The sequence below is a fragment of the Homo sapiens genome, chromosome 7 (genome assembly GCF_000001405.40).
Source record: "Homo sapiens chromosome 7, GRCh38.p14 Primary Assembly".
NCBI lineage: Eukaryota > Metazoa > Chordata > Mammalia > Primates > Hominidae > Homo > Homo sapiens.
Window position 1 is genome coordinate 141,647,651 of NC_000007.14, and position 24,041 is coordinate 141,671,691.

Below are 24,041 nucleotides of genomic sequence, written 5' to 3' on the forward strand. Positions count from 1 at the left end.
GAGTTAAAAAAAAATTATTTTTATTGATTGATTGATTGAGACGGAGTTTGACTCTTGTCACCCAGGCTGGAGTGCAATCGTGCGATATTGGCTCACTGCAATCTCTGCCTCCTGGGTTCTAGCGATTCTCCCGCCTCAGCCTCCCGAGTAGCTGGGATTACAGGCGCCCGCCACCACACCCGGCTAGTATTTGTACTTTTAGTAGAGACGGGGTTTCACCACGTTGGCCGGGCTGGTCTCGAACTCCTGACCTCGGCTGATCCGCCCGCCTCGGCCTCCCAAAGTGCTGAGATCACAGGCGTGAGCCACCGCGCCTGGCCAAAAATTATTTATTTTTTAGTTGACAAACAAAAACCAGAGTCTGAATGTTACCTGCTCTACAGTGGCACCTGCTAAAGTTTGAGAACCACTGCCCTGGGTGGCCACATCGCCGGCTCCCTCACCTCCTTCAGGCCTCCTCTCCAAGGCTTCTCCACGGGACCCCCTTTTTCATAACACAGCCACTGCCATCAGCGCCACCTCATGTTCCTTGCTCTGCTTCTTTGATCTTATTTTCTAATAAACTCTAATATAGTTGTGGCATCCTTATCTTCTAACAGAGTTTATAATTTACTATGATCCATCTATTCCCTCCAGTCTCTACAGTAGAAAGTAAGTTCTTTGTAGGCAGAAAGTCATGTGGGTTTTGTTCATTGGTGTAACCCAAGCTCCGTGGGTTCATGGTGCATGACTGGCACTCAGTAAGTAGTTAAATAAAAGGTGAACTTTCAAAGTCATCCACTTTATGTTTTGTAATTCTTAGTTGAGAGTTCTTTGTTAGTTACCCTTTAATCTTAGGCAAAGGCTTTAAGGCTCTCAGAGGCCTCAAATCCTGGGCCTGAACATTTTGAACCTACCCCAAAAGAAACAAGACCTCTATTTGAAGCTGACATAGAAGTTGTGGGATTGATTTACAGAGGGCTAGGTTTGTATGGCTAGTCACTGACTGGTAGCAAATTATGGGAACTGGTCCAAGAACCAAGTCTGTTTTGATAGCCATTTTGTCGTAGCTCAAATCATCCAGAGCTTTCTGTGGCTGGAAATGGAAAGTTTTTAAACATTACCATAGAATAAACGGATTGCTGTTTTCCAACTCTGGTTGCACACCAAATTTGTATGTAGAGCATTAAAGAAGCACAGGCACTTGGGCTCTCCACACCAAGCAGCCGATTCCATGCTGTCATGTGAAGCTCATGTACAGTGAACACTGAGATTGCTGGGATGGGCTGAAAGCTTGGCCTGCAAGGGAAGTAATCCTAGAGACTAGAACGGCTAATAATTACTAGTGAGTGACAGAACGTCCAGAACCTCCCACTCTGAGTTTTGTTTGCTTATGTAGTAAAAAAAAAAGCCAAGCAATGGAGATGAATTTTCTATAAATTATACCTCAGTAAAGCTCTTTGTGAAAAAAAAAAAAAAAAAGATTGAAAATAGGTTTGGAATTAAATCACTACAAGTAGAGTCCCCTATCTATATATAGCTTCAAACTATGAACCATCAAAGCTGAGGATGACAACAGGCTGCATTAGCCAAATTTTAAGAGTAATGACGTTAGTGTTCTTAACCTTTTTAGAGCAAAGAAGATTTTCTGAATATCTGCATTGAACCTGACACCATCAGCAAAGGAGACTTTATAACTATAGGGTAAGTGGACTGGGGTTCACAGGAAATGAGGCTTGTGATTTTCTCAGATTTTACTATTCAGAGTGCCCCATGAAGTCTAAGACAGAAATCCAGCCAAAGCCTTGTCTTGTTTGGGAATTTCGATGTTATTTCTTTCCTATGGGCTGACATGTAGAGTGCCCCTCTCCTATGCTGGCCATCACTGTTCATTTTGTGGGGATCAGAATGTAAGAGCAGTCTTTGTTTTTCAATTGAAACCAAAGAATTCAATGGAGCATGACACAGCGTCAAGAACTTTGGTTTCAGGGTCAAAGAGCTGAATGCAAATTTTGATTCTGCCACTTACCCGACGTCATGACTCGGATCATTTAGCATCTCTGAATTCTTTCCGTCTACAGAATGAAATAATCATCTCTGCCGATCTCAGGACTGGCTTTCAGCCTTGAGTAAGAGAATGTGTGTCAAGCCTTTTTATATTTTGAAGCACTTCACAGTATCCATTACTATTTATGTCAGTTCACCATGTCCTCCTATTCCCAGGGCCTTCATGAAAAACTGGAAAAGGTATTGAGTACCTTGGACATTTCCCAGGCCTTTTTCCCTTTTCCAATACAGAATACCCTTCCAAGTTCTGTGATTTGTTAAGTCCTACCTCTGCCAGAATTTTATTGGTAAAGAACACTATAAATCCTCCTTCAGGGCATCTGAGGAGCTGGTGTGTTCCCATGCCAACTGGTAATCTGCTCAGCTCCGCTTTTCTGTGCTTTGTCTCAGAGCTCCCTCTCGTGCCCATTTAGGGATCACACATTTCTGCTGCAGCGGCCTGGTCTCCATGGCTACTTCATTATCTACACAGGCACATAAGTTTGTTGTTCTTGCCTTTGGCATAAATTCTTCAGAGACTGAATAGCTGATTCTGCAGCCTTTGATTTTCTTGCTGTATCTATAAGAAGGGAAAATCCTGTTCCTTCTACAGAATGTCCAGAAATCACACAATCTTCATTGACAGTCTGGCCAGTGAGACCAGCAATATTCAAATCTCCTTTATGATACTGGTATCCAGAAATAGAGACCCCAATTCTATTGCTAAGGTTAGGCGAAGCCACTATGTTCTGCATTGTTAGCACCAGTGGCAGCCAGTGTCCTTCTGTTCTCTACAGGAAGTGAAATCAAGTAATGTCTGTTTCCTCTGGATATCTGAAGAGAACATAGTGAAGCTGCGTTAGAAAACTCTGATACCGTTTTGTAGAGTTACTGTTGTTAATAAATGATAAATGGACTGATTTACTTAGATTAGCTTTTACTGTATTTCCACTGCCTAAAAGATACATCTGCATGAGGTGGAGTGTGTGTCTGTATATGCGCTGGAAATTTTACTCCATAGTCACTCAGTCAAGGTAGATATTGTATGCCAAGTAGACCGCGTTATAAATACAGTCATCCCACGGTATCCTTGGGGTATTGGTTCCAGGACCTCCCTCAGATACCAAAATCCACAGGTTGTCAAGCCCCTTCTATATAGTGGCACGGTATTTGCATAGACTTAGGCACGTCCTCCCTATGCACACTAAATCATCTCTAGATTACTTATAATACTCAATATAATGTAAATGCTATGTGGATGGTTGCTGTCCTGTATTCTCTAGGGGATAAGATAGTCTGTACGGATTCAGTACAGGTGCAAAAATATGTATTCTCTATCCTCAGTTGGTTGAATCCACGGGAGTGGGACCCACAGATAGGAAGGGTTATCAGAGAACTTCTAAGACTAGTTGTTCATATACATAAAAGAAATATCTACATTAAAGTAAAAATATTTTATCCTTCAAGTAATCACAAGAAGTACCAAATACCAGACGTTTAGTACTTTTCCTAAAGAATTTCATTCTAATTTTTAAATTTGAGACTAACAATCTAAGAATTAGGTACATGTGGAATGATTATTTTTAAATCAATCAATTTTTAAATCAAATTAAGAGCATTTCAGAGAAAGTCATAACTTCATGCCCAGTTCTCTACTTTCAGTCTAGAATGTATCACAAGGCTAAGCAAGAATCACTGTTGGAAAAATTATTTACAGAATTCTATGGCTTAATAGACCATCTGTCCACTTATGTAAGCTCATAAAAAGGGGGAAAGAAGTTGCTACATTGTTGCAACCTAGTGCAGTTGCCATCACTGGTCTTAAGCTTGCTTTTTCCTGTGCTCACAGAAGTCGAAAGGTGAGAAACCCCAAGCTGCACGTGGAGGGCACGGAGTGTCTCCAAGCCAGCCAGTGCACTTTGCTTATCCCGGAGGTGAGTGGGGAAGGGGTCGGTAGTCACAGCATTTGATTCGTTCGTCATCGGCCTGCCCCTCTGTGGTGTCCCATCCTTCCTCTCTGTTAGCTGACCTAGACTTAGGCACATATTGTGTGCCAAGCATTTTGCCAGGCTCTGGGTCATATTAGCGGGGAGCTGAAAAGGATGGCAGAATCTCCTTGGGAGTCATGGATTTAGAGTTGGACTTCTGAAGACTCCCATCGTTTTCGAACCAAGGTTCTTCCCTAAAGTGAGTTTTAGGTCTCCTTTTATTTTTCCATATGTAAATAATGCAGAAGGTTACTACATTAAGACACATAGAGAATTGTCTAGCTGGCAAATGTTAATAGTGGCTTTTACTTTAACATTTTTTATAAAGGATCTGGAAGCAGTTTTCAGTTCAACACTGAATTTTTCTGTATTATGAAATGCCATGCTTAGAATAACCTATGTAAGTGAAAAAAATTGGAAATAGAATCTGGAATTGGGAGGTTATTCAATTGTCAATACGGAAAAAAAGGAGGCTCTTCATATAGCCTTTGAAGACATGTGGCCATATATTACTGTATTCAGACAAGACTATAGGTAAACAGAAGGTATCCCCATAGTGACTGGCGTCACAGTTTCGATATAAATATTGAATTAAATGCATGAGTTATGGAAGGGTTTCATAGACTGTAATGATATTAATGTTGATACACCTTGGGTATATCAAGCTAAACAAGTCTTAGAGAATAATGAAAATGATCCAGCAGATACAATAGCATGTCATAAGAGAATTAGCTGTCTTTATTTTTATTTGAGAAGGATTAGCATAATATAGAAAGACTATGTATATGAGTTCCTTAAGACATGGCAGGACCCTTGCCTTTTAATACATATTTGAAAATTATAACCATGTTGTTCAAATCCCAAAATACTCTGGGAGGAGATAGGGGCCAAAAAAAGAAAATAAATCCTTTTTCATGGATGGTAGAATTAGGATGTTTCCAGAACCAGCACTGTGCCCATCGTAGTAGGCACTGAATTTTTTTTTGTAAAAGAACATTAGGATAGCTCCTCAAGAGAGGATGTTGTTTTCCATAATGAACTTCTTCTGGTGCTGCTGTGAGACCTCCAACTCCAGTAGGCCACTGATGTGTTTGAGCTGTTCTGAATATTCTCTTCTCCCCAGGGAGCAGGGGGCTCTTTTAGCATTGACAGTGAGGAGTATGAAGCGATGCCTGTGGAGGTGAAACTGCTCCCCAGGAAGCTGCAGTTCTTCTGTGATCCTAGGAAGAGAGAACAGATGCTCACAAGCCCCACCCAGTGAGCAGCAGAAGACAAGCACTCTGAGACCACACTTTAGGCCACCGGTGGGACCAAAAGGGAACAGGTGCCTCAGCCATCCCAACAGTGTCGTCAGAGGGTCCCCAGGGCATTTTCATGGCAAGTACCCCTCTGCCCCCACTCCAGCAGTGCTTCCCAAAGTGTGCTCTGTCACCTGCTTTGCAATCGGCTTCCATTAGCGCATGTTTTATTTTGGTGTGACGGTTGGCCCTCCTAAACACGGACTTTCCTCAGGCTGGTTCAAGACGGAAAAGGACTTTCTTCTGTTTTCTTCCAAAGTGCAACCACAGTGGAGAGCCCACGGTGGGCTTAGCCTGCCTAGGCCCTTCCATTTCTCTTCTTTGACCGTGCTAGGAATTCCAGGAAAGTGCATTCCTGCCCTGGTGACCTTTTCCTATGTCTAGGCTCCTCCACAGGTGCTGCTATTTTGTGAGCTCCGGCTCCTGTTTAGCTTTTATTTCAGTTCTAACCTCAGTCCAGAAACATATGTGAGGTTGTTTCCCTCTTCAGCCACGGCTACAATACCGGAAAATGCTAGTTTTTATTTATTTTTTTAAGTAGTGCTTCCTAAATGGTTTGCATGAGAGCCACCTGGGGTACATGTTGAAAACTTATTTGGGGTCTACCCCAAACCTAATAACCCAAATTTGGGGATGGGGCCCAGGAATATGCATTTTTAAAAAGTCATCTGCCCTTCCCAGGTGATTCTGTAAGTTGTCCCTCAACTGTACTTGGAGAAATCGTGTTTTAAAGCAGTAGTCCACAAAGTATTCTGCTCATGTGCCCCCAAAAGTATTTTGAAAAATCATGTATACCCTCACCCATCTAAGTTGATATCTAAAATTTTATCTAAGTTGGTATCTAAAATTTTTCATGGGAAGTTAAATAGTTGACAAAGTATGTATTTGCTGGTGTCGTGTAAATATTGGTATTTTAAAATAAAAACTGTTACATCACTATTTTAAACATATCCAGTACAATTTAAATATCACAACAATTTGACACCCTTCATTCATTTATAAAAATAAATGAGCTAGTTCTTTAGTAGTTAAACATTTCAAATTGGCTTTTCTCCTTCTGTATTTCCATACCACTTTTCAGCCAAGAATCCTATCATAATGTAATCTATTATGCCCGACATCTTTTAATCATTCACCCCATTACTTCTTGTCAACAAAAAATATAAATGGAAATTTTTTTTTTAGCTCTTGCTTTAAGTGTTTGTTTGTTATCTCAGTCCAGAACCAATATTATCGTAATTAATTATTGGTATATAATGAAAACGGTATTAATTCTTGGATGATTAAAAGTTTTTTTATTAGAATGTTCTTTATCCTAATTAGTTCATTTATCCAAGAATACATGAATGTGATTTACAGCTGAGATGGGGTTCAACCTCAGCTGTATTCCTTGTTTCTGTATAGATGTAAGCACATAAATTCGATGGAATAGAATTACGTTAACAATGTTTTTACAGTTCTTTGGATTCCTTTGGCATTTTGACAAAGATCACAGTGCTCTATCATCAAGAATTATTAATGATGATCTATCAACTAACAAACAACTTGATTAGATTCTCCTTTAGTCTGTTGAAAGCAGAGAACTGAAATCCACCTGATTTACCATGGCTTTGCCAGCCAGTCATTAGCACCATTTACTTTTACTATCGCTGACATTTTCCTTTGTTCAGTGGCCCTGAGGTTCTTACACTCTAGGGGGCAGTGCACCACAGGAAGATAGATCAATGAGGGAGGATTGCGAGGGGGAAGGGGAGGAAGCAGAGCTGGCAGGCCTTAGCTACAGGCTCTCTCTCAGGCAGATCCCTTTTAAGATACATACACCATGCCCACACATCCCATGGAGAGAGACCAATGCTTTAGTAGATTACAGAACAGCTATGAAAAGTCCATGAATGAAGATCACAAAAAGGAAGGCTTTCTTATTTCATACTGTATTCTTCAGGGTGGTAAAATTTCTGCTTTTGGCAAAAACATAACAGACGGTTCCAAACATCAGCATAAAGATCACTCATCCCATACCACCCACAGGTAGGGAGGAAGGATGCTGTAGTATATGAAAACAAAAGTTTTCACCTGAGCTGAGAGCATTTAGCATATCGTGGTTCTGTAACAATATCAAGGACCAGTGCAGAATCTGGCTTTCTTTTCTGATAGGCTACCAGTGTGTGTTTATGTGTGCTCATTTTGTGGTTCTAATCATAATGGTACATATAATTAGGGAAGGATATGGAAGCCACTTTAGAATCTTATTCATTTTTAAATATAAATATGCCTTGTTTCAAACTTTGTTTTCTTGATTCAGGCTTTCTTTCCTGTGAGGGCTTGGTTTCCTTATTGTTGACTGCTTTGTTCTTTGCCTTGTCCTTCCCTATAAAGCCTGCATGGAAGACGTTTAATAGTGCAACTAAAAGAGAGTCAGCTGAGTGAGGCTTGTCAGCCAAAGCTGGAATGCTGAGCTATCTGGAGGAGATCCTAATAACCCAATTTGGGGATGGGGCCCAGGAATCTGCATTGGGAAGTCGGCCACCCTTCCCAGGTGATTGTTTAGTACAAACTTTTTGACAGATTAATTTCACTCAAATGCAAAGATTAATCCCAGCACTTTGGGAGGCCAAGGAAGGTGGATCACCTGAGGTCAGGAGCTCGAGACCAGCCTGGCCAACGTGGTGAAATCCCATCTCTACTAAAAATACAAAAATTAGCTGGGCATGGTGGCATGTGCCTGTAGTCCCAGCTACTCTGGAGGCTGAGGCAGGAGAATCGCTTGAACCCGGGAGGCAGAGGTTGCAGTGAGCCGGGATCGCACCACTCTGCACTCCAGCCTGGGTGACAGAGCAAGACTCCGTCTCAAAAAAAAAAAAAAAAAAAAAAAACCGTAGTTGCTTTCTATTAAGATAGGGTTTTAAATAAAGCTTTTTTCCTTTCCCTCACAGCTGTTTTGCACATATCTGGATGCAGTTATATTTCCTAAGTGCCAGTGCTTCACATATGTAACTGATGCATCAGTTCTCACAACAACCCTAGGAAGTAGCTACAGGTTGAGCATCCCTAATCTGAAAAGGCGAAATCTGAAATGCTCCAAAATCCGAAAGTTTTTGAGTGCCACCATGATCCTTAAAGGAAGTGCCCAGTGGAACATTTTGGATTTTGGATTTATAATGCAAAGATTCTAAAATCCTAAAACATCTGAAATCTGAAAATACTTCTAAGTCCCAAGCATTTCGAATAAGGGATACTCAGCCTGTAATAATATATGGTTACATAGCACAGAAAATAGGAACCTGACTTTGAATCCAGGCCATTTGATTTACAGAGCCACCGATAGCAATGTACTCTATACCGGTTCTAAATACATACTGTAACTCCCCAAGAGGTTAAAAATGAAATAAAAGTTTAGAATATACACATATACCAAATATATATCAAGTACATAAAGTTTTAAACTGAACTTTGATAAGAGAGTTTGTAAAGTAAAAGGGTGGTGGTCTCTGTGGGATTCTAGAAGTTTCCTGATGTAATTAAGGGTACACAGCCCTGGCTCTTCTGGGTGGCGCAGTTATTCCCAACTTTGTTTCCCATTACCTGGAGAAAGTTTGTCCAGACCGTGGCTTCTAGAAGGACAGGTAGCAGCTCCCCAATCTCCTCCATCATCACTGTAAGTGAAGTCAGGTTCAGCCCCCACAGGCTCTGCTCATGGAGTAGGCCACCATTCCTTCCTACCACAAACCACATTTCTCGGACTGGAGAAGGGATTGCAGCACGCACGTTCATGTTAAAATGTGAACTTTAATTGTAAAAATCATTTTCTGTAAATATAGTTATATCAACCTCTCTGCACACAACTTGGTTCAGATATATACAGATATGATATTCATAGATGTTATTTGTACCACAGAACAAAATCAATTCAAGAAACATTTACTTTTAGCTTCAGGATTAACCCCAGCTTTCTTTAGGCCTTAAAATTACCACCACTGGAAACAGAGAGAGAGCACGGCATACCTGGGCACACCAGTATTCAGGGCAAAATCTATGCAGTGTCTTACTAATTTCATACTATGAGGTAAAGACCCGAAACAAAAATAGATTCAGTCTCTCGTATTGCTATAACTCTTAGGCTGGGGTATTAATCAAAATAGGATTTTTACATTTAAGGCGACAGGGAGGCTATGCTGATTCTAACTCAGAAAGAAATGGGAAAACAGTTTTTCTAAGGCTACAACTATTTGTTTAGGCTTATTTTCCCGGACCTATACAAAAATTCAGTCAACAAGTTTTGGGTAAATAAAGGAAATTCATTTTGCTTTCCTCTGCTCTGTCCCTGAAGTCACTCATCCAGGTTGGCTGCTCAAACACCAAGAATCTCCACCATTCTTCACTTGACAGTCTTTGTGGACACGTTAGACCCAAACTTTTTTTTGTATAACACCATCTTAAAATTTTTTAGTATACTTTATCTTTCTTTAGTTTACCCAAAGGAAGGAGTTTTCACTCTAATGTCAATATATTTGCAACCATCCAACTCAAAGACCTCTGTGTCGACTGTTCACTTTGTGGATCATCTCTGGCTCATTTAAAACATCCTGCCTCATCCCCACATTCGCTGACTGGCCTTAGAAAGCAAAGTAAATTTATTGTTAGTCTAAATAAGCATTCTATAGCAAACATAAGTAATTCACACCTGGCCTACTATGAAAATTAAATTTTCTGAATTTAGATCATATTAGCTCTAAAAGCCCCACAGTATGCTAAAAATCGAAAATAAATTCTAAAAAGAGGAAAGCAAGGCTTTTGTCTCCATCATCATTTCTTTATATAGCACTAGAAAATTCTTATTCCCCTTCTAAATTTGCAATTTCATCCAACTGCCCCTAAATTCTAGTTCCAAAAACAAATTAAAGTGCCAGTTATAACACTACCTCCCACTCCCACCTCTCTCAAGAAAGAGGCCTAAAAATAAGAATGATGACATTTACCCTTTTTTGTACTAGAGCTTTACTGAAGGTTGGTATTTTTATGTCAACCTTCCTAGGACTGTCAAGTCTGCCTCCTAAAGAGCGCTGTCAGGATTTCATAGCACAATCTCCTTATTCACTCTCCAAATTATTTACATAGTAAAACTTCTATGGGGTCTCAGCCACCACCAAATTACAAAACTGCCCATTTCTTCTAGAATAATAGTTTTAAAATTTCCTTCCATTTCAGTATATGCATACTCAGTTCATCACATAGTAATATCAATAAAAAAATAAACTTCCATTTCTTATAAGAAAAACATTAACTTAATTCACAGTTAGCCTTTTCCCACAACACTCAATACTCCAGTAGCTTCTAGGAAGAGAGGTATATTAGTGATAAAAATGGAATATTAAAAATCCATGACTTGGGAGTAAACGGAGCCCTTAACTCCTCCTCTCCCCCTACCTGAATCACAAAAGGGTTTTCCTGAAATGAGAGGGGATGGGACTGGGGTCAGCAGGATTCTCACCTCGGTCTAACTACAAGGTACGGGGAGAAGACAGGAGGGCTGGCCATTTGGCAGAATCCAAGCCTACTAGCTTGGGATCTACTAGGGAGATAAAAGCCCATGCCTGGCATATTGGTCCCCATTCTAATTGTCTTGCCCATGTTAGACCTGTCATCACACTAAGGCAAGTCCACTGCCAAGCTGAGCATTATCCTATTTTATTCATCCACCTGCCCCTCCTCCTTTACCTCTGCAAGGTTGACCTATACAGGGTCTGGAGAAAGCATCTCAATCCATTCCCTGGGCTATACAGTTTCGAAGGGAAATAAATGGTCCCTCGGGTTTCTGCCTTTTCTCGGAGGGTTGATGTCCTAAAACTGAAAGCCTAATTCATTACTGTCCTTTACAAAAGCTTCCCTGAAGGCCTCAGTTTAAAGATGAGTGATTTCATCTTTTACTGTGTTTGAAGGGCTTTCAGTGCATCAAGACTGAGAGCAAATTCATCCTCATAGCCACCAGAAGGAAAAACAATGATTTAGCTAAGATTTAATTTATCTTCTAGCTAAAGTGTCATCGGTAGTCACATGATCAACAAATGTTCACATGTGGCATCTGGAAGCATGTGCACCTGTGTGCTATCTTAACTTTCTTGTCTTGACTTTAAAGTGGAACAAAACAAGGTAAGTTATAGATGCAAGTTCCTAAGCTAAATTACTTCTATTGATACATCAATGATTTCAGCTTCCCTCCCCCTAACCAGGTGGAAGCACAGATGCTATAATGGATGATGGATATGGAAGGCAAAAGCCTTCTAATTCATTGCAATCATAATTTACTGAGGACTGTACAGGTCCCAGGTGGGACACTGACACTGGAATGGTCTCTACCAGGCATAGGGAATGGTTCGTGTTTAAAGGCCAAGCAAATTCTAAACACATAATTTGGGCCATACTTTTAGTCTGGTAGGGGATAAGCCCTACCATTTCAAACTCCTTGTGGAGAGTCCTAAGCCAGGGGCCAACTGGACATTTTCCCAAAGGCTGGGCAGTATCATCTGCTGAGCCTACAGAATTGAAAATGCCCTCTTGAACAGGCCTTTGTCATATTTTGCATGGATACCAACGAGCCCCAAACCTGAATTCCACTCCCACCTGGAACTTCTTCTGACTTATTCAGGAACAACAGGGCAGCCCAGCCAGCATCTCAGGTCAGCAATCATTTCCAAACTGGCACATAGTTCATTTCACAGTGTGGCATGAGATCAGGCTGACAGCTTCACAGGAGAACTAGGCCTGCTCAGGCAGGCGAGGGCTGAGGCCCGGCAGGAGATGGTGGCAGAAGGTGTCACACCACAGGTATCCAACCCTCCTCCAGGAGGCCGGTGGTCATCATAATGCCCGCCCCTAAAGAGCTTACAGACCTAGAAGTCTGTGAACGATGTTCAGCACTTTCTTCTGAACAAAAGCAGATGGTTTCTCAGAAAATATTTCAAGACTGGCAGAAAAGCAGGTCCACATGGCTCCTAGCTTCTGCTGCCACTGTGGAATTCCCTAGTAGAGAACTGGTAGCAAAGGATCCTAGGTTGTGCCTGTTAATCTGTCATGTTGGGGAGCAGAATCTGGCATAGAGCAAGGCTTCGAAAGGTGATTTCCGAAGCCACAGGCTCCACTTCATAGCCCAGGCAAGACATACTCTGAGGATGCTCAACAGTGGCAAAGGTAACTGAAGAGATAAAGCACACGCTGTTCAGCCAAGCAGAGGCTCTGCACAAGATTTCTGGTCCTATGAAGAAGCTGGCAAGGTAGGGAAGGACCAATTTATTGGAATCTCTCTTAAAGGGAGAAGTTCTGCATTGGGGTCAGCTGAGCCCAAGGCCCCTATGACCTGAAACATGGCACTGCCTCACTGGCACGTTCTCCTCTGGGGCCACCCATACCCTGGCCCTCTGCATGAGCAGGAGGGTGGACACGTGGAGATGTGAGACAGAAAGCTACCGAGACAAGCACAAAGTTAAGGGAACCCAGAAGCCCTGACTCACCATTCAAAGGAAAAAACAGGAACTTCATTCTCACCCTGCTATGTTTACACCAGCACTTCTGAGCTTGCAGTTAAAACTGCAGTGTTTGCATATAGAAGGCTCAGAGCAGAAATGCCTCAAACAGCTCCTTCCGGCAGATTCCCTAATTCCAGAAAAAGGAGGTCTTCTTGTGTCCTCTAGGAGAATCAGACCTTTCCTTTCACTTCTACTCCTGCCTCTAACCACCTACCCCCAGCTTAAAACACCCTGAACCTCAGGATACCACGAAAAATAACCATTACTTGACAGAAAGGACCCCTCAACCCTTGAGAGGCAAGAAGAGAGGGTTGCATGTAAAGGAGAATAAAAGGTGAGGCTTCAACCTCGAAACACAGATTTTTTTTTCTTTTGTAAACATACACATTACTGAAATGACAGCAACCCACATTGCAGAGGAGAAAAGTCTATTAGCTGTACAGTTTACATTTCAATGCCCAAACTTATTTATATATTTACATAAAGATGCTACCTTGATTAATCAATGTCTATTTGCATTTCCACATGTGAATTTCTTCAGTTTTGATATTCCATATGAAGGAGCTACAGTGAAAACACTTTTGAATAAAGCAGTGAACCCTAAGAATCTTATCTTGAGATGAGATGTGTGAACCACCATTTGAATGTTATTTCTCCCTGCTGTGTACATTAGTCTGGCTGGGTGTTGGTCACAGACATGGATGCACTGACGGCTATTCCCATAACCGAGCCAGGCGGGAAGGGGGAAAAGGAAGACATTATTTGTCACCAACAACCCAGTATCCCAAGTCAAAATTCTCAACTATGGCCAAAAAGGCCTAAACTCGACCCACAGGAACTGGCTTTCTAACTGGTTGACAAACACGTAAGCTGCCCTCCTGCAAAAGCCAACCAGAGAACAGGCAGGTGGCAACAGGACCCAGCCTAGAGCAGAGCACTTCAGAAGAGGATGGATAAATCCATCAGGGATGCTCAGGGCTTCCTGACCACTGTCCCGGGTGAAGGCACTGCCACATTTTCTCTCAACAAATCTGTTATGTCCCTGGATCCAATTATTTAGCCTAAGGAATGTCACCTCTGCTAAAGAGAAGTGTGTTTGTGAGGGGTCCAAAATGATAAACCGTCTTGTTAGCATCATGCTCCACCCTCTGAGTTAACCAGCTCAGATCCTTGCTAGATTTTGGAATCCAGTAAATCTGTGTTGACCCAGAGGTGCTGCTGCTAATGCCTCCAGAGAATTCGTGTCCAGATGAAGAGACTTAGAGTGGCTTCTCCATCCTGCTCGAACTTCAATTGCTCTATCCTCCGGTAGTCCAAACTTCAGCCTTTAAAAATACCCAACTTACTCCAAGAGCATTATTGAACCCTTAAGAGACTAAACTGGAAAATTAATTTGCTTGCAAGCTCCAAGGCCAGCATTGGCCCTTAGCAATTCACCAATTCATCCCAAGAAGAGGAAGGTTCAGACAAAGAGGAACATTACATTGCATGGCCACCATCAAGTTACTTTGAGGAAGGTTTCCAGGCTTCATTCTATAATTTTAGTTTTCAGCTCACTGATAAGCAACCTCTTTCATTCTGACCATAAGATAAGCTCATATTTGGTGTCAGAAACATCCTTTTTTCCCTCTTTGTGGTCCCTACTCAAGTAAACAGAGAAGACATAAAGTTGCCCTAATGAACAAGAAAAGGGATTTGATCCCAAGACTATAGACTCCTAGAACTACTAAAAACCTTAAAAGATCATCTGGTCTAGTTTCTGCCTTTAGGCAGATGAACATCTAAGGCCACAGGGGACAGGTGGTTGTCTTATTCTCAAATACATCAAGGGACAAAGACCACACAGACTTTCTGAACAGTCCATCCCAATGTTTCCAGAGCTCAGCCTACTCCTAGTGATACAACTCCCATGACCAAGCCCAGAGGACCAGCAGCTCTGGGAGAAAGTGGCAGATTCCAATATCCTAACATGGCAGGACACAAAACCAAGGTGATCTCACCTTATCTCTAGGGAAAAGGGCAGAAAGGAAATTGCAAAAATTATGTTTGTTGGAAAGTATAAACAATATTCCTTTGTGTCAACTTAATAAAAAATGAGGCCCTCTGGGGCCCTGGGGTGAACTCCGGGCTGCTGACATCCCACGTGAAGTGGCTCCCAGTCCTGTTGGCTCCTCCTACGGGCAACAGGGGTTGTCGATAACCAGCATGACATCAATGCCATAGGCCTCCAGCAGGTCCAGGAGAAAGCTCCGGTCTCCTTGGGGGTCTAGGCCCATGCCCCGGGCATGCTCTGCTGTCAGAGTTTTGTCTTGACTGGCAGACACCTCCAACAAAGTCTGAAATATCCGGTTGTTTTGTTCTAGGAAAAACCTGCATTTGGAAGACAAGACACAGGAAAGGAAGCGGGGGGGAATAAAAAGCTCACCAGATAATCCACATATGGGGAACCAAAACTATACTGTTTTGTTTAATGTACTTTTCAGTGGATTCGCAGGTATCTTTTAAAAAAAGAAAAGAGTAAAAGTTAATTATTCAAGTGCTACTAAGGTTAGCAAAGAAACCATTTGGCATTAATTATGGTGTGATTAGGGAAATCTCTAAGCAAGATGGCCTGTCAAAATCCATTTTCCTGTTGAGGGAAGTGACCTGGGTTTAAACACAGCCTGAGAAGAGGCCCCCAAACACTGCTTTTCTCTCTTTCTGCTTAGTCATAGGAGGAAGCAAAAATTCAACAACAACAACAAAATGAACGTGAGCCAACGTTACCCTTGGGTGTTTGCTCTCCCTTGATGACTCTTTGGGAGGAGTGAGATTATGCACAGATCAAGATTTAAAAGTCACTGCTTTAGAGTGCTTTATGAACAAACAAGCTCTGTTCAGGACAGGGTTCACTGCCTAGTTAGACTAGACAGTCCAGCCCCATACAGCTCTCAGGTTGGCAAAGTGCCTGGTGCCTGAAGCGGCCCTCGGTGCTCAGGAATTTCAGACACAGTGGCACATGTCATACCTGGATGAGACTATGGCTGTGCTCAAGTCTCAGATACTTTCCACCTAAACAGGATGTAGGTTTTAGAAGTCCACTATTAGAATCAAGGTGCTACACCTTTGTAGAAATGCCCACATTAAGTTTTCAGCATCAAACCACAACCTCACCCCTGGAAGACCAAACAGGAAGCTGGGAGAATTCAGTTGATGCCACAGAAGGCTACTTCACCCAGCTGTCTAGGAATGAAATCAGTACTGTGAGGTGGAAAGGCCCTGGCTTCTGCACCTACGGGGCAAAGAGATTTCATTTGATTCAAGAATTAAAATTTCAGATTATCCCATAATATTCAGCGCAAGGAACTACTCTATTCAAAGGAGGCAATGGAAATGAGAAGTCCCTGAGTCCTGAGGGACAGACAGAGCTTCCAGGCAGTGGACATCCTCGATGTAAAAGCCCAACAAGGAAAGAAACACTAAGACTCCTGTTTTCTCTTAAGGGACCTGCTTCTTTCCCTAAGTCTTCTGGGTTCCCCCTAATGGCATTTCAGGGCTCAGGTTTGCCTCTGTAAGGAGCCCGGCTCTAAGTGCCCTTGGCAGCAATAAACGGCATCCCTGGCCCGCAGTGAATGACATGGGAGGGATGCAGGTCACTCAGTGCCGAAGGGATCCTCAGGGAGACTCCACATCCACGGCCCCAGGACTCACAGCACGAAGAGGTCCTCTTCACAAGGGTTGTAGTCTTCTTCTACTTCCTGGGAGTACAACAGCATCTGCCTGTTGGGAAGATCACCGTGAGACTCTGGTGCAGGTACCAGGACCGCAGTCACAGGTGAGGCCTCAGCCAGGCATCTTCAATGGGCCACCACCTCCCAGGAAGCAGCACCAGCCAGGAAAGGGATCAACAGGGTTTGGACTCAAAATCCCTGGGGTCCAGGGCCAGTTCTGCCCCTGGTAATCTTAGGCAAGTAACAATCTCCTAGTTGTCTATCAGAAGGGGATGATGATGATGATGATACTTATTTCACAGGATCACCAGATTATTGACAATGACATCAGATACATATAAGCAAGCTTCTAATACGGCGACCAACACAATGAAGGTGCTCAGTCAAGGTGCTTCTAAGCCGCACACACAGGTACATCTAAAGGTCACGTGGAGAGCAGCTGGCAGCTAAGGTAATTTCCACAGATTCCAAAGTCCATGAGAAGAAATAAACCAGCACCGTGGATCTACTCCCCTCCTATCAGGGCAGCATACAGGGAGCCTGGCCTCTTCTACTGCGGGGCTTCCCTTCATTTCCATCTCCATCCCAGGCAGCATGGAGACTGGGAGAAATGTGTCAGGGAAGGGGCAGAAGACAGGCTTTGCAGAGACCCCCATGCTGGAGCTGCCCTGAGGAGGGTGGAGCCCCTGGTTCTCCCCTTAGCTGCCACTACCTCTGCTCGTTGAGCCGGCGGTACTTCTCCCTGTCAGCACTGTTGATCTTCAGCAGCGGCTGCAGGTGGTCGTGGTGTGTCTTCACATTCTGGTTATCCACGTAGACGTCATACAGCTCCCGCTTCTCCTCGAATATCTTCTCTGTGGTGCCTGTGGAACCCGGGGTTAGAGAGGTGGGAACCCACCCGACCCCACTGGGAAACAAGGCGCCCAGGAGCCCTGTGTCTGGGAGGAGCAGGGCTGGGACCTGAGGGCAAGATGAGGGGAGGGCCCCGTACTCACAGGCCACATAGGACACCTCTACCTCCAGGCTCTCGATGTCAGCCACGTTCACGTAGAAGAAAGGTTTGGACTCAGGAATGGTGCCCCCGATGCCAGGCAGTGAAACGTTGGCCAAGCAGCAGCAGCAGTACACTGTGGGGATAGAGGAGGTGAGCGGGGAGGGTCTGCCCCTCCACAGCCCTTCCTCCCTCGGAGCCTGCGGCTCAACACCTCTGCTCCAGGCTATCTGGTGCTTCAGGATCCAGGTGGTCCTGGCGTTCTGAGGAGACTGGAGGTGGCAAGCCTTTTGGGGTGCCATGGCAGAAACTGACCCCTCAAGGTGACGTCAACAACGTGCTTCCCAAACCCAATAAACATTTCTCAGTCTTTCTCTAGCTGGTCTTGCTTAGAATTTGACCTTGTCAGAACTCCGGCCTCTGTAACCCTTGTGTCTTCCGGTTCCCCCTTCTGCCTGTCCCTCCCTAGTCCTTTCTGTCCTTCCACCTTTCTGGTCCACTTCCTGTGCCTGGAACACCCCTCCACACTTGTACTTTCCCCAGGTAACGCTGTCCATCCTGGATATGAGTGCAGAAATAATCTACCACCCTCAAATCTTTATCTCCAGCTCAAACGCCCACAGGTCCCGACCCAGCTAGGCAGGGTGGGCAGACACCCCTGCTGTGAAGGTCTCAAGGCAGCACACCCTCATCACATCCCACACTAACCTTATCAAGCCAGCCCCCGGCTCCTCCTCCGTCCCCCATCTGGTGGCCCCACCACCCTTGTTATCCTAGACTCTGCTTCCACTGCAACCTCACACACATCAGAACCTTTACAACCCAATCAGACAACAAGTTTTGTCCAGTTTCTCTTAAATCCATCTAGAATGCATCTTCTCTGCTTTAATCCAGCCCTAATCTTTGGCCAGGCCACTGATGTGTCATCCAACCCATCTTCTACATTGTCAACAGTGTTCACAGCCAATCAGTTCACTCCCGGGCTTAAAACCCCATCCCCTGGATGTGGCCCAAGCTCTTCCAAACTTGGTCAGTGACAGAAAGACTCAAGCAGTTTCTGCTCCAGGGATTTAAGCAGCACTCCTGACTCTGGCTTCTGGTTACCTCTATAGCACACCACGCCCACAGGTGGGGGAGAAAATATCAAAATGCGCTTTCGAAGTAAGGCAAATTTCCAGAGGATGAGGATCTGTTCTCCAAAGAACTTTATAAACTGAGACATGCAGCCAGCTGGGTGTGTGATCTGAAAAAATTGAGGGGAATAGGGAGGAGAAAGAGTGAGGAACAGCTTCTTAGAAATATAGCAAAAGGTATCTAATCTCCTTCTCTGAAATTCTAAAGTCCATCCAAACAGATACATTAAAGGATGCTTATTTCCACACACAATGATGTTTTTCACTTTAAAAGTCTTACCTTTAAACTGGATTTCTATAATACAACAGCTCCCTGATACACTGATGTTTGAGTTGAGTGATCATTATTTTACTCAGGAGAACAATGCAAAGGAAACAAAGCTAAATTTAAATTTAAAAAAACCAGAATAAAAGCATCTGCTTCAATAAGAAAACTCAACTCGAAAACATTACTAAGCACTGTTAAGTAATAACATGATGAGCAAACAGTCCCCAGTCAGATCCCAAATCTATGGGGGCTGCTACTGTGCAAAGTGAGGTGTCTGCAGAAGTCACAGGTAGGAAGGAGCCCCTGGCATAACCCCTGCTGCACTTCACCTCTGACCACTCTTCCTTCTTTTTTTGAGATGGAGTCTGACTCACTCTGTCACCCAGGTTGGAGTGCTGTGGCGTGATCTTGGCTCACTGCAACCTCTACCTCCTGGGTTTGATTTTCCTACCTCAGCCTCCCAAGTAGCTGGAATTACAGGCATGCACCACCATGCCCGGCTAATTTTTGTATTTTTAGTACAGACAGGGTTTCACCATGTTGGCCAGGCTGGCTTTGAACTCCTGACCTCAACTGATTCGCCCACCTTGGCCTCCCAAAGTGCTGGGATTACAGGCGTGAGCCACCACGACTGGCCCCACTCTTCCTTCTGTCACTAACTGGCAACCCCTGAATTGCCTTCTAGGAACACTGAGCCAAGGAGTATCATAGGGGTTAAGAGCATAAGCTCTGATCCCAGGAAGAGCTGAATTCCAATCCTGGCCCTGCCATTTACTAACAGGGAGATCTGGGGAAAGTTAGCTAATGTTTCCGGTTCACTATCCTTAACTGTGAAATACGGAATCATCACCTACCTCGTAGGGTTACTTTAAGGACCGCCTGAGACAAAACATGAAATAGCACATAAAAATAGCCAATATGGGGTGGCCACTACTGTTGCTTTGAAAAACAGAAAGGCTTCAAACCCTGGGCCTTGTGAGCTTTGTGAAAGGTCATTTCCATGCCAAAGTGCCAGAAGAAAGAGCTCATCACCCATCAGGGAGGCAGGCAAGAGCACTTCTGAGAGAGGCACCGACTCTCGGGCTGCGTGCTAGGGTTTAACAACCACCAGCCTTCAGAGGCACCTATACCCGAGCCTCAGGGCAGCCTCTGCACTCTGCCTGTCCAAGCCAGGGCTGTCCTGGACCCTCCGAAGCTGTGTCTGCACTACCCGGAGAGGATTTCCCTTTCCAAGGCATCACTCCTGCACTGATACCATTCCCCTACCCCATGCCAGGATAAAGGCGACCCTGAACTGAACATGTCCTGTTTGCCACCCACGCCTACTCCTCTGCCACCGCAACCCAAATCATGAGGAGGAGAGGCACCAAGTGACCAAGGCTGGTTGCATCCCTCCAATCGCTATTTCTCTTCAAAGTCTAACAGCAACCAGATAGGAAAGGGTGCCAAAGCACGTGCCGGTTCCTCCCAGCTTTCCCACTGGTTATCTTCAAGCTCCCAACTTGTTCTTCCACCACACAGAGGCCAGGTGGGGCTTGCCCAATGTATATTTTATAGGCTAGTGGGAGAAAGCGATTAAAATATAGCCTGACAGAGCCATGATGGGAGAAGAATGGGGCATGGTGGAGCAAACTGGAGGGTGCCTGATCCCACTCTAGGAGAGACAGAAAAGACTTCCTGGGGGAAGTGATGTTGAAGCTTCGACATAAAGATGAATCTGAGGCCGGGTGCTGTGACTCATGCCTGTAATCCCAGCACTTTGGGAGGCCGAGGTGGGTGGATCACAAGGTCAGGAGTTCAAGACCAGCCTGGTCAACATGGTGAAACCCCATCTCTACTAAAAATACAAAAAATTAGCTGGGTGTGGTGTCGCGTGCCTGTAATCCCAGCTACTTGGGAGGCTGAGGCAGAAGAATTGCTTGAATCTGGGAGGCAGAGGTTGCAGTCAGTTGAGATCACACCACTGCCCTCCAGCCTGGGCAACAATGCGAGACTGTCTCAAAACAAACAAACAAACAACAAACAAAAACAGATGAATCTGAGGGAAGGTGTTCACATACAAAGGCCTGCAGGTAAGAGGCAACATGGCCCTTCTTGGGACCTGCAAGTAGTTCAGGCCCTGTGCCCAGGCCCATGCCAGGGAAGCACTGCCCACAGGGCCACCTCCTTTCTTCTAAAAGGGTCAGCTCTAGAGACTTCTCACCCCTTCTCACCTGCACATGCAACAGAAATTCCTCCTGCTTTCATTGAAATCTCTTTCCCTTTTTCCAGCCTTGTTTCTCTGGCTTTTACAGAGAAATCTCTTTTCTTGATGTCTCCAGTGCGTACCTTCATGTTTTCCCTCCAACCTTTCAAGTCCATACTCCATCCTCTTTTCACTCCAATTTCTTTTTACTCCCTAACCACTGTCAGTTCAGTGTCCATAGCAGGCTCTGATAGACCCATGCCTGCCACTAGGGAAGCCCTCCACTCCCGGGGCCCAGCCCCCCTCCCCTGTATCCCTCTCCCACTCCCCCATTTTCCTAAGGGGAGCATTTAGCAGCCACATCTGGACCTCTCAGAGAGGTCTTCCTCTTCCCTCTGCTTCCTTTCCAGTTTATTTTTTTCCCTCTGAAACATTCCTATATCTGACTCCTACATTAAAAGCTTACTTCTTTAAAGTTTTTTTTTTTTTTTTTTTGAGAGGGAGTCTTGCCCTGTGTGGCCCAGGCTGGAGTGCAGTGGCGCTATCTCAGCTCACTGCAACCTCCGCCTCCTGGGTTCATGCAATTATCCTGCCTCAGCCTCCCAAGTAGCTGGGATTACAGGCGCATGCTACCATGCCTGGCTAATTTTTCCATTTTTAGTAGAGATGGGGTTTCACCATGTTGGCTAGGCTGGTTTTGAATTCCTGATCTCATGATCCACCTGCCTTGGCCTCCCAAAGTGCTGGGATTACAGGCATGAGCCGCCGTGCTCAGACTAAAGCTTTTCTTTATACGTGTGTTCATGTTGTAAAAATTCATTGAATTATATACGTATGATTTTTGAACTTATTTCTATAAAGTTTTATATTTCAATAAAAAGCTTAAAGATATATATATATTATTTTCCATACATGACAAGTATTGTATCATATATACTATTTTTGAACTTATTCCTATAAAATGTTATATTTCAATAAAAACTGACAGATATATTACATTATTTTCCATCCATGACAAGTATTATTATATCATACATGCTATTTTTTTTTTTTTTTTTTTTGAGACGGAGTCTCGCTGTCGCCCAGGCTGGAGTGCAGTGGCGCAATCTCGGCTCACTGCAGGCTCCGCCCCCTGGGGTTCACGCCATTCTCCTGCCTCAGCCTCCCGAGTAGCTGGGACTACAGGCGCCCGCCACCTCGCCCGGCTAATTTTTTGTATTTTTAGTAGAGACGGGGTTTCACCGTGTTAGCCAGGATGGTCTCGATCTCCTGACCTCGTGATCCGCCCGCCTCGGCCTCCCAAAGTGCTGGGATTACAGGCGTGAGCCACCGCGCCCGGCCTCATACATGCTATTTTTAAGTACTGTCATTTTTTTTTCCTGGTCCCTGCCTTTTTTGTACATGTAAGCCTTGCCCTACCGCATCCCATACTTTACCTCATCCAGGGAATACATAACTTAATAAGCTCATATACACCCATCAATACTTTCCATGTTTATGTCTGGGTGTGTGTGTGTCTCTATCTAGACAGACACTGTGATTGTTTAACAACAGTGTAATCATATCACATGTACAGTCGGCTGGCCCTCTGTATCCCCTAATACCATATTCTCAGATTCAACCAACTGCATGCAGATCAAAAATATTTGGAAGAATAAAGAATAACAATAAGAAAATTTAATACATGTAAAAACCAACATAGTATAACAACTATGTGCGTAGCATTTCCATTGTATGAGGTATTATAAGTAACCTAGAAATGATTTAAAGCACAGAAGGTCCCTGATTTACCATGATTCAACTCACCAAGTTTTCAACTGTATGATGGGTTTATTAGGATGTAGCCCCACGTTAAGTCAAGAAGCTCCTTAAGACTTTGATGGGATTATGGCTTCTACTGAATGTGAATTGCTTCCGCACCATCATAAGGTCGAAAAATCATACATTAAGTGGACCCGTCGTAAGTCAAGGACTGTTGGCTGGGTTGCCAGCATTAAATGCACTTTTGACTTACAATGTTTTCAACTTACAATAGGCTTATGGGGGTGTAACCCCACAGTAAGTTGAGGAGTATCTGTATATGGGAGGAACTGCATAGGTTATATGCACATACTACACCCTACTACATGGGAACGTGAGCATCTGCAGATTTGGGTATCTGAGGGAGGGTGCCTAGAACCAAGGCCCTGCAAATACCAAGGAATGATGAGTTTTCTGCACGTTGCTATTCTCACACAAATGAGATCTGGTGATCCTTCCATGTCACCTTCTTATGCTCTAATTCACTACTCACTATGGCTTTCTAGTTTTCTACCACTGTGAACAATGTTGAATTAAATATTGTTACACATACGTCATTCTGATGGATAGATCCTGAGGAGTAAGGTTGCTGAAACAAAAGGCACATGTTTTATTTATTTATTTATTTAGAGAAGTCTCACTCTGTTGCCCAGGTTGGAGTGCAGTGGTGCGATGTTGGCTCACTGCAACTTCTGCCTCCCGGGTTCAAGCAGTTCTCCTGCCTCAGCCTCCCAAGTATGTGGGATTATAGGCACCCACCACCAAGCCTAGCTAATTTTTGTATTTTTAGTAGAGATGGGGTTTCACCATGTTGGCCAGGCTGGTCTCAAACTCTCGACCTCAAGTGATCTGCCCGCCTTGGCCTCCCAAAGTGTTGGGATTACAGGCGTGAGCCACCATGCCTGGCCGTTTTTTATTTTGATGTGCTGACATATTGTTTTGTAAAAAGAAGACACTCCACTGTTATTTGTATCTGCAACCATAACGGTACCCTCTTCCCTGCATCTCCTAGGGTCTAACAGTTATGTTAATGAGCTGTCCTCAAAAGCATGGGCCATTTTCTTTTTTCTCTCTTAGTCCCTCATCCCTGGACTCTTATGGGGAAGAATACGAGTACATTTAG

At 44.0% G+C, this 24,041-nt stretch overlaps 2 protein-coding genes across 5 annotated transcripts in view; one reads left to right on the top strand and one right to left on the bottom strand.

Moving 5' to 3' along the window:
- AGK (acylglycerol kinase) overlaps positions 1 to 7,594 on the top strand; it is a 103,835-nt gene extending 96,241 nt beyond the window's left edge. For 3 of the 4 annotated variants that reach the window (XM_024446835.2, NM_018238.4, XM_011516397.4), the window contains exons 14-16: positions 1,613 to 1,683; positions 3,875 to 3,959; positions 5,137 to 7,594. In XM_024446835.2, coding sequence (XP_024302603.1) covers positions 1,613 to 1,683; positions 3,875 to 3,959; positions 5,137 to 5,274 — 294 coding nt within the window. In that variant the 3' untranslated portion in view covers positions 5,275 to 7,594. Of the gene's footprint in view, positions 1 to 1,612; positions 1,684 to 2,822; positions 2,954 to 3,874; positions 3,960 to 5,136 lie in introns of those variants that run through there. The other variant, NM_001364948.3, reaches the window with a different exon arrangement.
- DENND11 (DENN domain containing 11) overlaps positions 9,078 to 24,041 on the bottom strand; it is a 45,439-nt gene continuing 30,475 nt past the window's right edge. Inside the window, exons 5-9 of the mRNA NM_001080392.2 lie at positions 18,637 to 18,775; positions 17,537 to 17,668; positions 17,254 to 17,404; positions 16,522 to 16,590; positions 9,078 to 15,201 (exon numbers count right to left, since the gene is read on the bottom strand). Coding sequence (NP_001073861.1) covers positions 15,006 to 15,201; positions 16,522 to 16,590; positions 17,254 to 17,404; positions 17,537 to 17,668; positions 18,637 to 18,775 — 687 coding nt within the window. The 3' untranslated portion in view covers positions 9,078 to 15,005. The remainder of the gene's footprint in view (positions 15,202 to 16,521; positions 16,591 to 17,253; positions 17,405 to 17,536; positions 17,669 to 18,636; positions 18,776 to 24,041) is intronic.